The 16,476-nt window shown below is 36.4% G+C and overlaps 1 protein-coding gene across 4 annotated transcripts in view; it reads right to left on the bottom strand.

Moving 5' to 3' along the window:
• Positions 1 to 1,992: 1,992 nt before the first annotated feature.
• The window catches only part of DBF4 (DBF4-CDC7 kinase regulatory subunit), a 33,061-nt gene continuing 18,577 nt past the window's right edge, over positions 1,993 to 16,476 (bottom strand). For 2 of the 4 annotated variants that reach the window (NM_006716.4, NM_001318061.2), the window contains exons 7-12: positions 15,036 to 15,072; positions 14,207 to 14,252; positions 11,197 to 11,325; positions 10,668 to 10,782; positions 7,130 to 7,254; positions 1,993 to 4,358 (exon numbers count right to left, since the gene is read on the bottom strand). In NM_006716.4, the coding sequence (NP_006707.1) occupies positions 3,383 to 4,358; positions 7,130 to 7,254; positions 10,668 to 10,782; positions 11,197 to 11,325; positions 14,207 to 14,252; positions 15,036 to 15,072 (1,428 nt within the window). In that variant the 3' untranslated portion in view covers positions 1,993 to 3,382. The remainder of the gene's footprint in view (positions 4,359 to 7,129; positions 7,255 to 10,667; positions 10,783 to 11,196; positions 11,326 to 14,206; positions 14,253 to 15,035; positions 15,073 to 16,476) is intronic. The other 2 variants (NM_001318062.2, NM_001318060.2) reach the window with 2 other exon arrangements.

The following is a 16,476-nucleotide window of genomic DNA, read 5'->3' as shown; positions in this document are numbered from 1 at the left end:
TCATGCAATCCACAAGCCTTATTATATATTGAATCAACCAGAAGCTTCCTGATAGAGTATTGGAAGGGCCTGTTAATTAGCATCAGCATGGAGGTGATATTCTTGAGAATAGGCTGTCATTTAAGATGCAGTATACAGTTGGAGTTCAAGATGTTTTTATGGTGCTATGCCCCCGACAAAATAAGTCTGGCAACCCATGAGTGGAACAGGAGTAGACCTGCTTGCCGTCACTTATTTGACCCTCTTGAATGTGTTTCCTACCTCAGCGACTCCTGTTGAATTATAAGCTGCGACCACCACCCGGCCGTTTTGAGTTCCTTGTGCCAATAACCCAACAGGCAGAATCACTATGTGGGGTAATTGATCCTGATCCCTCTTCAGTAACTTGTTGCCCCAGCTTCTGGGAGTACTGACAGTAAACAGCTTTCAACTTCTACTGTCAGCTCCTTCAGGGATTGTGTCAGCTGAGGAGCCTCGTTGCCCACAGTCATGCTCCTTCCTAGAGTGACCCATACTCAAATGACTTATTGGTCATCTTCACCTAGCAACTCTTGAAAAGCTGCCTGTGGGGTCAACTGGTGTCCAAAGGCACCCCTTAGAAAACATCTGCATACCAAATTCCATCTCAGTCTGCCTCCTGTGGGAACCCAAAAGTCATACCATGAGGGCCTCGTGGTATGACTTTTTATAGACTTTTGTCTATATATGTATAGACAAATATATATATTATACATATATATTATATAGACATATATATATATGTATATGTATGTGTATATATATTTTTGTAAAAACGAAGTTTAGCTATGCTGCCCAGGCTGACCTTGAACTCCTGATCACAAGTGATCCTCCTATCTCAGCTTCCCAAAGTACTGGGATTACAGGTATGAGCCAGTGCCCAGCTAAGCCCAGGAGTCTGAGGCCACAGTGAGCTGACTGCACCATGGTAACCAGGCCTGGACAAGAGAGACCTAGTATCAAAACAACAACAACAAAAACAATAAAAAAAAAAAAAAAGAAAAAAAAAGAAAAACCACACACACAACAAACAAAAACAAAAAGGCAAAGAACCTTCTGGGTAAACACTACCTTGGCTGTGCCTTGGTAAAAAATAGGAAAAACTACCCCTACCTCTAGGTAGATGCACCTCATTGCCAGGACACACTACTTGCTGCAAATAACCTGCCTTCATCTCACTGGCTGGGTGCCCATCTGCATAGCTGCACAGCACAATCCAAACTGTATGTGGTGGCCCAAGTAAACTGAAATTATTCCAAGTAAACTGAAATTTAAGCACTTGAAAAAAGCTGAATACTCATTATGAAGACCATGTGGTGTTCCAAAAGTCCAATATCCAGTGTCAAATAGTTTAACAACTTTTACTGAAGGGTTCAGACTTTTTCTCCTTAGTAAGTATAACTTAATGTAAAATGATGCCCAGAGTACCACTGTAAATTGAAGACACTTTTTTTTTTTTTTTTTTTGAGACGGAGTCTCGCTCTGTCACCAGGCTGGAGTGCAATGGCACAATCTCGGCTCGCTGCAATTTCTGCCTCCGGGGTTCAAGCGATTCTCCTGCCTCAGCCTCCCAAGTAGCTGGGATTACAGGAGCGCACCACCATGCCCAGCGAATTTTTTGTAGTTTAGTAGAGACAGGGTTTCATCATGTTGGCCAGGATGGTCTCGATCTCCTGACCTCGTGATCCGCCCGCCTTGGCCTCTCAAAGTGCTGGGATTACAGGCGTGAGCCACCGCGCCCAGCCAGACACTGTTACTCTTAAAGTCAAAGGATCATACAGTGACTTTACATACCTTTCAGTTATTTGGAAAATTTGGGGAACACTGATAACTAAAGGGAAATAAACCTGCAAATAATTTTCCAAGTTCCATTTAGATTTTTCAAAGGTTGTCTACGAAACCTTACGTATGTTTACACATACATACATGTATTTGTGATAGAAAATGGAACAATAATTTACAATGGAAACAGGGTTTGCGTGTATGCACTGTAAAGACTCTTTTATTGAGCCTACTTCAGGTACTGGTATGAAAAACAAAGGTGTTAAAAAGCCAGTGTTCATTGATGTTATCCAAATGATCAAAATAATGTATGCAGGAAAAGCATATGAATTAGTCCTGTACTGAGAATCATATATTTCAAAAAAATTAAGATTAGTAACCTAATTTTTAGTGACAATAGATTCATGTACTATGCAATAGAACCAATTGAATGTCACTGGTGGTAGTCTTACTCCTACAAGAACATACTCAAAGGCAAATGCCTTATATCCACAGATTCAAATTGAAATTTCTTATATTTGAATTTTCTCTTCTCCAAATGCTTGTATCAGTAAGTGCCAGATCAAGGCAATCCTTGTATATATCCCAAAACTGTATCTATAATTCAATGCCATCCTTTTCTCCTTCATCTCCTACCAAATTAGGGGGTAGAGTCAACTTTTTTTTTTTTGAGATGGAGTCTCACTCTGTCACCCAGTCTGGAATACAGTGGCACAATCTTGGCTCACTGCAACCTGCACTTCCCAGGTTCAAGCAATTCTCAGCCTCTGGAGGGAGTAGCTGGGACTACAGGCGCATGCCGCCATGCCCAGCTAATTTTTTGTATTTTTAGTAGACAAGGTTTCACCATGTTGGCCAGGATGGTCTTGATCTTCTGACCTCGTGATCAGCCTGCCTCGGCCTCCCAAAGTGCTGGGATCCTGTGGCATGAGCCACAGGAGAGTCAACTTTTGAATATTATTAAAGTTATTTACAAGGTAAGTAATTAAAAATAGCAGATAAATTATATTCCACTTGGTAGCCTGGTTAAGTCCTTCCTTCATGGCTTCCAGTTACCCCTATACATAATCTAATTACTCAGCACCAAAATACTAGCATGGTCCACCAGTGACCCTCAAGTGTCAATATTTCTGATGATTTCCAGAATTCAAGCATAGAAATGTATTTTTCCTTTCTGTATGAAATTTAGGTTTTTCAAGGCAAGGTCATGTTATCCTGATAATCTTTTAAAATTTACAATACAACTAGAATATCCAAATGTATAATGCTAAGTTTGATATTCCCCAAATTGCACTTCACTGGTGGTTTTCAGTGACAAAGCAAATTATTATTCATTGTAATTCTCAGGAAACAATTACGAACATATATATAATGTAAAACAAGACCAGTCACAAGTTTATTCTGTAATTTTTCTTTAACAGGTATTCAATTCTGTAGAAAATTGCAAATATTTATTTTTAATATTTACATTTGGGTCTGTAAACAAAGCTGGTAAAAAAATCCTAAGAATTTCCATACATATTTATAAAAATTTCAAGAATATGATCCTTATCACTTCTGAAAAGTATGCATTTTTTAAATTCTAAAAGCCAGTAAATGTAGAAGTTGAAGGGGACGAGAAAAACGCTGTTAACAGATTATCTGAATTTTCCTCTTCCCAAATATCTAAAACATTGCATATACCACTCTTTTCTGTGTAGCTTGTGAAACCCAAAAATTCTGATTTCTCTTCACTAGTCTGAAACAAGTCTAGTAAAGACTGTACCGGTGAACTACAAATTCTGTTTTCTTCTTGTGTAATAAATTCAGTTCTTTTATCAAATTCAGCATTTGGTTCCAGATTTTCTTTTCTATTTCGTCCTAATATTATTTTCACTTTTCGATGTATTTTACCAGAAGGTAAACTATCCATATTCTTGAAGTCACATTCATTGGGTTCCTCAGGAGGAGTATGGAATGGAGCCTTTGCCTGAACAGTTAGGTGCTCTTGTGAACTGTTTATTGTTATCAGACCAGAATCATGAGTAAATATTGAATGAAGGTCCTTTTCCTTGAGATCCTTTGCTGGAAAAAGCACAGTATCTGACTTCTGTTTTGGTTGAGATCCACTATTATCTGTACTGAAATCAGAAACATGTACAGATGCCTGTATGTTACATTTATAGTGATCTACCCTTAGTTCTTCTAAGTCATTTTCACTTAATGTGTGTTCGGAAATGTCAAGAATGCATTCCTGTTTGTTTTTATGTAGAGGTAGCTGTGTAAAATTCTGTCTTATGTCATCTTCAGCTGTACTTAACATGGAACATTTATTACTCATTTTCTCATTAAGCCCTCTCAATTCATTTGAAGGGTGGGGGATGGGCTCTGAAATAAACAGGAGCTTTTTTTCAGTTTCCTGGGTCTCTTTATACAGGAAATTCTGCTCCTTCACTGTTGTATCATCTTCCTGGCAATCTTTCTGAGAAATATGTTGCAATTCCACTTTTTCCTTTTGTTCAGTCTTTTTCAGGACACTTGCAGAAACAGGAGAAAGGGATCCAACACTGTATTTTATTCTTTGTAGGAAAAATAGAAGAAAAATATTAAAATAATTGCTATCAAAACAAATTCCTGAGTAGTTAGAAATTAAATTAGTAAAAACATTATATAATCTTTAAGAAACCTATTTAACTTAGGAAATTTTACAAAAATACAAACATCTTAACATTTTGCCAAATTTACTTGAGCTGTTTTTAAAGTAATACAACTTTTCAGATATAGCTGAAAACCCTAGTGTACCTCTCTTCTCCTCTACATTCCCTGCCTCCCTCCCAGATAACCAATATCCTGAATTTTGACATTTAAAATTACTTTAATCATGTAAATGAAAGAAATTGATAGTAAAGGGATTTGAGCCTGCCCCTAATTTTGCTTTCATTATTCTGAACAATTTCTTAACTTCTGTGCTTTGATTTACATTAATGCACATTTTACTCTTCATTTTACTTAGCAATGTGGAGAATAAGTATTTACTGAGAAACCTATGGCAAAAACATATATTTTAAATTTACATTTAAGAATATTTAATATCAAAGTGAGCTAGAAACTTAGTATCTTTATACTTTCAAAGGTGACAAAGTTGTAACTTTTAAGCTTCAAACATATTTGACCTAAAATTATTTTCTTCATGGAGCATCTTGATATCCCTGAAATTCCAGTTTGTATTAGACAAACCTAAATAATATACAATTAGAGAAAAAGTTAATAGCTCACCAATTACATTTTGTGTTCCGCATGTCACAGATTAACTGTGAGAAATAATACAATTTTTCCTGCCCCTTCAACCAGAATGTTCTTTTTTATCTTGTTCATACATTTACTTACAAACAATTCTCTTTGAACAAATGGGCAATAAAAAAATGTAAAAAAAAAAAAAAAAACTACTCTAACATGGCTTTTAAGTCCAAGATGTTTAGGACACTTGCCCACAGAAGTGACAATTAAGGAACAACCAGTACTAGCTCAGAATTTTGCTGCAGACTGAGTTTTTAGGGAATTATAAGTTCTTAGAGTAGCCCACATAGTTTTTTTGTTTTTTGTTTTTTTTTGAGACAGAGTCTCTCTGTCAACCAGGCTGGAGTGCAGTGGCCTGATCTCAGCTCACTGCAACCTCTGCTTCTCGGGTTCAAGTGATTCTTGCGCCTCAGCCTCCTAAGTAGTTGGGACTACAGGCATGTGCCACCACCTAATTTTTTTTTTTTTTCAGTGGAGATGGGCTTTCACCACGTTGGCTAGGCTGGTCTGGAACTCCTGGCCTCAAGTGATCTGCCCGCCTCGGCCTTTCGAAGTGCTGGGACCACAGGTGTGAGACACCCTGCCTGGGCACAGTAGCCCACATAGTTTTAATAGTTGGAAATATGCCTTCTCTTCAAATCCATATTAAGTCAGTCATGAAACCATTCTGAATGTCACAGAAATATGGAATTTAAGAACTGTTTTACCTGAAGTAAAAAAACTTTCTGGTTAATTTTCAGAAGCTGTATCTTGTTATCACATTTCTAATCTTCTTTATGTCTTAAGTAAGATTAGTCTAAGAATAAAGACTAACTTAATGAGTTATCACCACCTCTAGGGTATATCCATATGAAACCATCCCTTTAAGTTTATAGGAATAATCTAATCAGGACAATTTTTGTCAATGTGCAGTTGGTGTACATTGAGCAGTACTGTATTCACACTTAAAAGTCCTGTCAGTACCTTTAGTAAACATACCCATCATAAGGTTTAGGCAAAGATATTTAGTGAAATATAAAGACCTAAGGGGCAAGTGGAGGAAGTTTTCTTAAAACTCCTTAATATTACCTAAAAGTTCAATAAAATGTTTTAGTCTGAGTAAATGGTAAACTTTATGGTTCTACAACAGGAGCTGATACACTATATAGCCTGTGGGCAAAATCTAGCCGTCAGTCTATTTTTCCAAATAAAATTGCGTCAAAATACAGTCATATCCATTGTACAAAAAAGCTAAGCTAATTAGTTGCAACAGAGATCTTACGGCTCACAAAACCTAAAATATCAACTATCTGGCTCTTTACAGGAAAAGTCAGCCAACTCCTTCTAAACTACAGTGTCAAGAATGAGACTAATTAGTGGGGTGTAGTGGCACACGCCTGTAATCCCAACTACTCAGGAGGCTGAGGCATGAGAATCTTTTGTACCTGGGAGGCAGAGGTTGCAGTGAGCCAAGATTATGCAACTGCACTCCGGCCTGGGTGATAGGGCGAGACTGTCTCAAAATAAAACAAAAAATTTAAAAAAGGAAAAGTTTTACATAAAAAGAAAATTTAAAAAGAATGGAACTAAAAGTAGTCTAAGGTAAGGATCTTTGATAGTAGGGAAGAAGCTACTGGTTTTTAACCATATTTACATCCCGAAAATACATATTCCTTCTAAGAACAGGAAAACTGTGTTTATTTTTAGTTTAATAGTTTAATATTCTAGTATAATTTATTTATTTATTTTTGAGACGGAGTCTCACTGTCACCCAGGCTGGAGTGCAGTGGTGCAATCTTGGCTCACTGCAACCTCTGCCTCCTGGGTTTCAAGTGATTCTTCTGCCTCAGCCTCCCGAGTAGCTGGGATTACAGGTGTGCAACCACCACACCCGGCTAATTTTTTATTTTTTTAGTAGAGATGGGGTTTTGCCATGTTGGCTAGGCTGGTCTCGAACTCCTGACCTCAAGTGATCCAACTGCCTCAGCCTCCCAAAGTGCTGGGATTACAGGCATGAGCCACCACCCCTGGCCGCCTAGTAGAATTTAAAACTTAGGTTGATAAAACTAATTACCTTTTCTTTTTAGGTGTGTCCTTTTCATATTCCACAAAGTCAAAAACTAACTTAGATACAATATCATCAACAACTTGATACTGGTTACTCTGTGCAAAGTTTCTGTGTTGCTCACTTAGAAGGTGCTAAAACAAAATTAAAAACATGTATCAAAAAATTGTATTTAAAATCAAGAGATGCCTTTTTAATTAAGGTTTTCTAACATTCTCATGCCCCTAAAATTAGGTTTCCAATAACTACTCCAAAGATAATACCCTTTACTAGACTTCAAAAGACGTTTAAAATAAAATAAAATAAAAGTCACTTTTGAGAAGCCAGTAAAACTACTTTGGTTTTTAGTCTTCAGTGAGAAAAGACAAGTACTAATTTGTAGTTACAATGGAACTGAAAAGAATGAGCTGTGTCAGAAAACGAAGACACAGATCAGGCGCAGTGGCTCATGCCTGTAATCCCAGCACTCTGGGAGGCCGAGGTGGGCGGATCACCCGAGGTCAGGAGTTTGAGACCAGCTTGGCCAACATGGTGAAACCCTATCTCTACTAAAAATACAAAAAATCGGCTGGGCCTGGTGGCACATGCCTGTAGTCCCAGATACTTGGGAGGCTGAGGCAGAAGAATCACTTGAACCCAGGAGGTGGAGGGTGCAGTGAGCAGAGATGGCACCACTGTACTCAAGCCTGGGCAACAGAGCAAGACTTCGTCTCAAAAAAAAAAAAAAAAAAAAAAAGGGATACAGAGAGAGAGACAACAGTAACATTTTGGAAAACACATTTCCCTCTATTACTTTGTCTTCATGCAATTATCACTAAATAAGGCAGAGCTTATAGAATAATAAATGAATGAAATATAAGTTAACATAAAAGAATCCAGAAAGTAGATTAAACACATGAACCACATTAAATGCTGTGAAGTACTAAAAAAGCCAAGATTCGTAATTGAAGAACACATTTGGGAATGACCAAAACAAATGATCTCAATTACCCAGTGCTCATAACAGAGTATACAGAAGTTATTCTCATTCTTAAGAGCAGTCAAAACCACTGGGCGCAGTGGCTTACGCCTGTAGTCCTAGCACTTTGGGGAGCCAAGGAGGGCGGATCACCTGAGGTCAGGAGTTCGAGACCTCCTGGCCAACACGGTGAAATCCCGTCTCTACTAAAAGTACAATTAGCCAGGCGTGGTGGCGCATGCCTGTAGTCCCAACTACCAGAGAGGCTGAGGCAGTAGAATCTCTGGAACTCGGGAGATGGAGGTTACAGTGAGCTGAGATTGCACCACTGCACTCCAGCCTGGGTGACAGAGCGAGACTCCATCTCAAATAAAAACAAAAAACAAAACAAAAAGAGTGGTCAAAACCAAAAGTAAACAAGTTCACAACAAAGTGAGATAAAATTCACAGGAAACAAAGTTCCTTGTGAATAGGTGGAATCTCCAGCCTAACTTTATTATTTGTCTGTCAGCTGATCAGGGAGGGAATTGTACTTAGAAGCTTCCTCTAGATGACCATTAAAGAACCTAATTTCTATTTCCCTAGTTTCATGCAATTTTACATTTTGATGATTTTATTACATTTCTAAAAACTAGCATCCTGTAATATACATGTATTCCTTCATTACTTGCAAACTTTACCATATACAAATTATATATGCCCAGTAATAAAAATAAGAATTATCAAAATTTAAAAGGAAGCATCAAATCTTGTAAGCTCAGATTCACTCTGTTAATGTTCTGGGAAGGAAAAATTTCCAACTTTTATTTAGTTCCCCTCTAATTTCCATTAAGTTCTTCTTACTCATCCTTATAAGTCTTAATTTAAAGCGTCACCTGTGTTCAGTTGGGCCTTTTGAGACCCTCATTCTAGGTTAAATAACCTCATTATTTATTCCCATTGCACTTCATACTTTACTTTTGTGAAACTCATCACACTTGCAAATACATATTTTCTATCTATCTACACTGCCAGACCATAAGGTGCATAAGGGTAGGGATGTCCGCCTTATCTGTTGCTTTCTCCCCAGTACTCAAAAATATGTGTTAATTAATCCCTTGATACAAGTGGAATTGAATCATTATGAAACCTAACATTCAAAAAAAAAATGTCTTTACTCTTAGCAACTAAGAAACATATAAATGAAAACTGTAAAAACATGACCTTAAATTTCAATCCCAACCTCTAATCTCAACATCTGCTTTCACTAATTTTCTTCTTTGTGGCAACCACTGAACAATTTTTTCATTTTTTAGCCTCGACATTTTCTGAGAACCAAATTAAGCATCCATTCCAGATTATTTTGTTGCTACACCAGCAAAGTAAAACTTCAGGACCAATCTGTAATTTTAATTTTCAAAATTATTTTCAGGAAGGGGAAATATTTCTGAGATACTTTAGCTTCTGATTAAAAGCAATTTTAGACTAATCATAGTTTTCTTGTTTATTACATAAAAACAAAAAAACTGACACAAAACACTAATATATTTTGGTTTATAAAACAAACTTCAATTCAGAGTCTGAAGACAGATATGTTCCAGTATTATTCTTTCCCCTTAACTTTCCCACCATCTTCTACCAAAACCGAACCAAACACCAAAACAAACCTATCTATTACGTAAAAAATTATTCAAATAACAGCTAACAATAAGCACTTACTATGTGCCAAACACTGTCCAAGCTCACACAGCCAGGGAGCCAGGATTCAAACCTGGCAGCCTGAATCCATAGCTCTTGCTCATCAGTTTACAAACTATAATAGTTCCCCCATTTTCATCCTATATACCCTTTGCAACTCTCCCATTTCTTTCTGCTACCTCAATGGTCTTTACTTCTTTCAACTCTTCTCTTCCCATTATAAATAATAAGCCCACTTTTTAATTGCTAAGGTTCAAAATACTATAGTAACCCTTGACTACCATTTTCCCTCACTTGCAACATCCAATCCATTGGCAAATCCTCTTGGTCCCACCTTTAAAACAAATCCACAATCTGACCATGTTTCAGCACTTCTACTACCACTTAGTCTGGACTATCAATATCTATTCCTTGGTCCCATCAATCATTTTAAATTGGGACCTTTGCACTTACTTATCTCAATATCCAGGTCTCATTACTTCATTTCTCTCAGGTCTCTACTCAAATGTCACCTTATCAGTTATGTGTTCCTTGTCTAGGCTAAATAGCAACATCCCCATTCCTATGTTCTATTTTTTCATAGCACTGATCTAATATTCTCTCTCTATATTTTTATTCTTCTTTTATCCTGTGGTTACCTATCTCCACCCCTATCCCACCCCTACCCTACAGAATATAATCTTCACAACGGTAAAAAATTAAGTCTGTTTTGTTCAATGCTGTTTGCCCAGAGTAGTGATCAGTATGTAGTAGACGCTCAGTATTTGCTGAATAAAAATTCATTTTCAATACTCATTTCCTCCCTTGAGTTCTTAAAATGTAAAATATCTGCATCAGAATAACAAGCTAAAATTTAAAACACAAGTATTACAGTTTTCGAAACAAGCCCCCAAAATATAAAATCACATTTACAGTTTCTAGATCTTCATATTTCTGCAAGCAACATTCACAATATCCTTTTTTCTTCTTCTCTTTCAACTGGAGTTGAATTGAGGTTCCACCATACTTATCGCCATCTGTTTGGATTCTGATGACAGACATACATGGTAAAGAATTAACTGCTGAACCTAAGGAATAACTTTAAAAATTTATTGTCCTAAACTATCACACACAATCTGCATAATTTGCAGAGACTTGTATCAGCAAGTACTTTTAATCATATTTCTTTATACTATATTGAGAAGCAAACTAAAGATTTAATGAATATTCTGGAGAATATTTCAGATCATTCAAGATAAACTACACATTTTCATTATTCACAAATATTTTAAGGCCCTCCCCACCTCCATCTAAACAGATTCAGACTTATAAAAGTAATCAGAATAGTAATTACAAACACAAATAACCATTATGGCATAAATGAAACTATTTCAAATCTTTACAAAGAAAAATTGAGATGAAATTCTGAATATTCCTTCTAAAAGTAAAGATTCAAACCAACCTTAGTTTAACCTGAGTTTGCTTTTGCATACTAGATGGCTTGTCTACATCAAATGGACTGCAGGGCTTCTGAATAGAATAATTTATAAAAGGCATATTGGTCAGCTGAAGATAAAATGGCCTATAAAGTCTAGAAGAATAAAAAGACAAATACATGAGATTCTTTATGATTAAAGAAAAAAGGTTTAAAGTTTTGTATTTCAAAATCATATAATTAAGCTGGAATCTGAAATAACAAATTATTTAGGCTTTCCTTCAAAAAATCAATTTCAGGCCTAACAATTTTTAACATTTAAACATTTTTTAAATTGTGGTAAAATACACATAAAATTTATTACCTTAACCATTTTAAGTGTACAATTCAGTTGCATTAAGTATTCACAATGCTGTGGTACCATCACTGCTACCGTCCATCTTTTGTAAGATGACGTATTTTCATCTTGCAAAAACTGAAACTCTATACCCATCAAACAGTAACTTCCCAAATATCCTTTCTCCATATCCCCTGACAACCACCATTCTACTTCTTGTTATCAGTTTGACTAACGTAGATGCTTCAGGAGTGGAATCATGCAGTATTTTTTGTCTTATTTCACTTAGCATAACGTCTTAAAGGTTTATCCATGTTGCACGTGTCAGAATTTCATTCCTTTTAAAGGCTGAGTAATATTCCATTGAGTGTGTGTACACACACATCCTGCATACTGTTTATCCATTAATTTGCTGATGGACTTGGATTACTTTCACTTTTTGGCTGCTTAATAGTAGCCATCCTAAATAATGTAAAGTGGTATCTCACTGTGGTTTAGATTTGCAATTCCCTCATGATTAGTAATGTTGAGCATCTTTTCATATGCTTATTGGCTATTTGTGTATCACCTCTGGAAAAATGTCTATTCAGCGCTTTGCCCCTTTTTAAAATTGGGTTGTTTTGTTGTTGACTTGTAATTCTTAATATATTCTGGATATTAACATTTATTAGATATATGACTTGTTCAACCTGAGAAAGCTGAAAAAAAGAAATAGATACATGACTTGCAGTATCTTCTTCCATCCTTTCGGTTGCCTTTTTACTGTTATATCCCTTTAGGCACAGAAATTTATATTTTTGATATGGTCCAATTTAATTATTTTATCTTTTGTAATCTGTGTTTTTGGTGTCACGTCCAGGAAAGCACTGCAAATCCAATGTCATGAAGCTTTTCCCCTGTGTTCTCTCCAAGAGTTTTACCATTTTAGGTCTTTGGTCCATTTTGAGTTAATTTTTGAACATGATGTGAGGTAGGAGTCTAATGCCATTCTTTTGCATGTGTATATCTAGTTTTCTCAACACTGTTAAAAAAGACTGTCCTTTCTCCATTAAATTATCTTCATACCCTTGTTGAAAATCATTTGGCCATATGTGTGATGGTTTATTTCTAGGCTCTCTATTCTATTCCATTCGTTTATATGTCTTTATTCCAATGCCAAATTGTTCTGATTTCTGTAGCATTACAGTAAGTTTTAAAACCAGAAAGTGTGAGACCTCTTACTTTGTTGTTCTTTTTTTTTTTTTTTTTTGAGACGGAGTCTTGCTCTGTCCCCCAGGCTGAAGTGTAGTGGCGTGATCTCGGCTCACTGCAAGCTCTGCCTCCCGGGTTCACGCCATTCTCCTGCCTCAGCCTCCTGAGTAGCTGGGACTACAGGTGCCCGCCACCAGGCCCGGCTAATTTTTTATATTTTTAGTAGAGACAGGGTTTCACCGTATTAGCCAGGATGGTCTCCATCTCCTGAACTCGTGATCTGCCTGCCTCGGCCTCCCAAAGTGCTAGGATTACAGGAGTGAGCCACCGCGCCTGGCCTTTGTTGTTATTTTTAATGATTGTCTTGGGTTTCCTGCATCTGTTACAATTCCGTATGAATTCTAGGATACGTTTTTACTATTTCTGCAAAAAACATCATTGGGATTTTGATAGGGATTGCAGTGAATCTGTAGATCACTTTGGGTGGTATTAACATCTTAACAATATTATATCTTCCAATTCATGAACATGGGATGTCCTTTCGTATACTAGTGTCTTTTCTAGGCCTCCTTTTGAATTGCACTTTTTTCTTCACAGCAACACATTTCATAAAAAGCAGTTTTCAATACACTTTTGTCGCCTCAGTGTGAGTACCCAAGAGAATTAACCACAGATGTCTAAATGAATAAGTGGAAAGAAAAAAGAAAGTAATCTAATTCTCTCATGGCAGGCCTATTTATATCTGTGGTCTTCATTAAGATTATCCCACATGGCTGGGCACAGTGGCTCACGCCTGTAATCCCCGCACTTTGGGAGGCTGAGGCAGGCGGATCACTTGAGGTCAAGAGTTAGAGACTAGCCTGGCCAACATGGTGAAACCCCATCTCTACTAAAAATACAAACATCAGCTGGGCATGGTGGCGTAGACCCATAATCCCAGCTACTTGGGAGGCTGAGGCAGGAGAATTGCTTGAACCGGGGGTGGGGTGGACGTTGCAGTGAGCCGAGATCGTGCCACTGCACTCTAGCCTGGGTGACAGAGCAAGACTCCATCTCAAAAAATCAAAACAAACAACAACAACAACAAGACTATCCTACAATACTTCAGAATTTTGGAAATCAACCATGTTAGATGTTATACTTAGATTTTCTGTTTCTAAATAGCATCTAATAATTTCTTTTTCGCAAATGAAGGCGTAATCTTTCAGTAGTTCTAAATCATTTGGTACTGCATTTAGCCAGAGAATAATTTAAATACTAAAAAAACGGTGTCATGATTTTTCTAAACCAGCTATTTCAGGAATATCTACAACATACTGAAACTAAATTCAGTCCTTGAGCACAAATGAATTAATGCTACTTTCGTTAACTTGTGCCGCATGCACATTAGTATAATATAAATCAAACACAAAGGAACCTAACAGTACTAATCGAGCTAGCCTAATTAGTTAGGTGATTTTCCTCTTTAGTATTGCACTTAAATCATACAGATTGGACTTAAATACTTACTGGCTCATATCTTCCACCTTTACAAAAGGCTTTTTGAGTCTTCCTGCTTGAGAACATAGAAAACATATTAGATACTTGCAAATTCAGGATTCTTTTTTTTTTTTAATAAAACTACTGTGGCAAAACAAAACCCTCCAAACAAAAAACTATGTATCCACTTTAAAGTTTTAAGCCTCAGATGAGGTACTTCCATTATCACCTCATTTCCAAAAATAACAGAAGCTCTCTCCTATATTCTGAGATTCTTAAACTAAATGGAACCCTCAAATTAACAGGATTCAGGAAGGTCATAAATTAGAACAGGAGAAAAACTACACTATTGTCTTCACTAACCTCAAACTGAAATTTAGCATTTCCTTCAATTATAAATGTAACAAATCACACTATTCGCAGTACCTGCGACTTTGATGCTAATAGAAACTGCACATATTTTCATCAGTTATGAACTGCTTGAGCAGATATCTCAAAGCATTGTTTACGCTTATCAATTCAAAATGAAGTGGCAATTAGATTCACTGCTAGAATCTGTTCTGTGTAATAAAAAGCAAGTTATCACTATTTCACAATTAAAAACTATTTTGGTAACTACATTTTAATATAATTCATTTTCTTGGTAGACTAATGATTTTTAAAGGAAACGTTTTAAAAAAAACATCATTCTGAAAATGCGGTCCACAGGCTTCACCAAACTTCACCAAGGATCTATGTTCTATAAAGACGAAGAAAGCCTTGAATAAATCATTTAGAGGGTGGTTTATATGATTTTAGAAGATCTTTTATGATTTTTCAAATGCAAACCAAATACACTTAAAGATCACAAAATACTTACTTCTTGTTTTTTGTGCACCACTACCAACTCTTTTGCCCTAAAAAAAAATATATAGTGAAAAGATTGGCTTTGAAAGTACAGTTAAAACAGCAACTGCAATTGCTCAGTATCTTCAAGATAAAAAAATCATGCAGAAAAGTGCTATATCAAAGAAGGATTATTCTTTGTTAAAAAAAACTATTGTTTTTAAATGTTTTACAATACACTCAGCAAGTACCTTGCATTCTAGCTATAATTGATTTTGACTTCATAAAAAGAAAACCAATAATGAAAAGGTAGTTAATGAAATGTTTTTTTAAAAGTCATATTATTTTTATGCCCTTATTCAGCAAAATCTTTGTATTAAATTGAATAAAGAAATTAGTCAACATTTATTAGTCAGTCAATTTAGGCAAAGATTCAATATGTTAAAGATGGATAATCAACTCCACTGATTACAACTAGAAACTCTGGACAACACTGAATAAGCAACTACCTGAAGAATGAAAAGTAAAATAAGCAGGCAGATTGTGGAAGGAAGTCAAAACTGGAACCTTCAGTCATGGAGTTAGCAGCAGTGGCAGAGCCAGCAGCTAAAACTCCTATCTTTCTGGCAGGAAGAACCAGGAATGAGGTTCAAGTGGCCAAAAATACCAAGAGAATCCCTGTATTATTTTCTTTTCTCCCACAGTTCTGCCCTGAGGGTGGGTCCCAATTAGGAGGCTGAGATTGTAAAGGTAGTACAAGCTTAAGCTAACATTGAGAAACCCTCACTTTCTGACTAGAAGACCTGGGAAAGAGGCCACTGCAAGCTGGAGATTGATCCATGAAAAGAGCAAGTTAGAGAAAGGGATCCCTAATTCCCTATATAAATCCATGCAAGTGCAGGGCTTACCTCCAAGTTGCACATGCTAAGGATAGACCCAACGCAGCATAGCAAGGGCTTTGAAAATTGAAACTGAGATTAGATCCACCCCACCCACAACCACCAAGACAGAACAGTCTGAACAAAACTGGGATGACTGTCCGCTAAAACAATGGCAGAAACAAAATCAGCATCCTACAGACTATCAGGATATAGGGCCTACACAACATTTAGAATGTCCAGTATACAGTCAAAACTTAAATTTCACATGTAAACAACCAGAAAAACATTATCAATTTTTGAGAGAAAAGGACAATCAGATGCCAACCCCAACATGTTCCTGATATTGTAATTATTAGAAAAAGACTTTAAAAGTAAAGGTAAACACACTTAAGATGAATGGAAAGAGACAAATTCTCAGCAGAAAAACTACAAATAAGAACCAAACAAAAATAATAGGACTGAAAAATATACTATCTGAGTGAGATAACAAAATTCACTGGATAAGCTCAATAGCAGAACATGTATGACACAATTAAGTATTAGTGAACTTCAAGACAAATGAATAGAAATCTCCAATTGGAAGAAAAGAGGAAA

This window comes from Homo sapiens, chromosome 7 (genome assembly GCF_000001405.40).
Source record: "Homo sapiens chromosome 7, GRCh38.p14 Primary Assembly".
NCBI classification, from domain to species: domain Eukaryota; kingdom Metazoa; phylum Chordata; class Mammalia; order Primates; family Hominidae; genus Homo; species Homo sapiens.
This window is presented reverse-complemented; position numbering and strand designations above follow the sequence as displayed.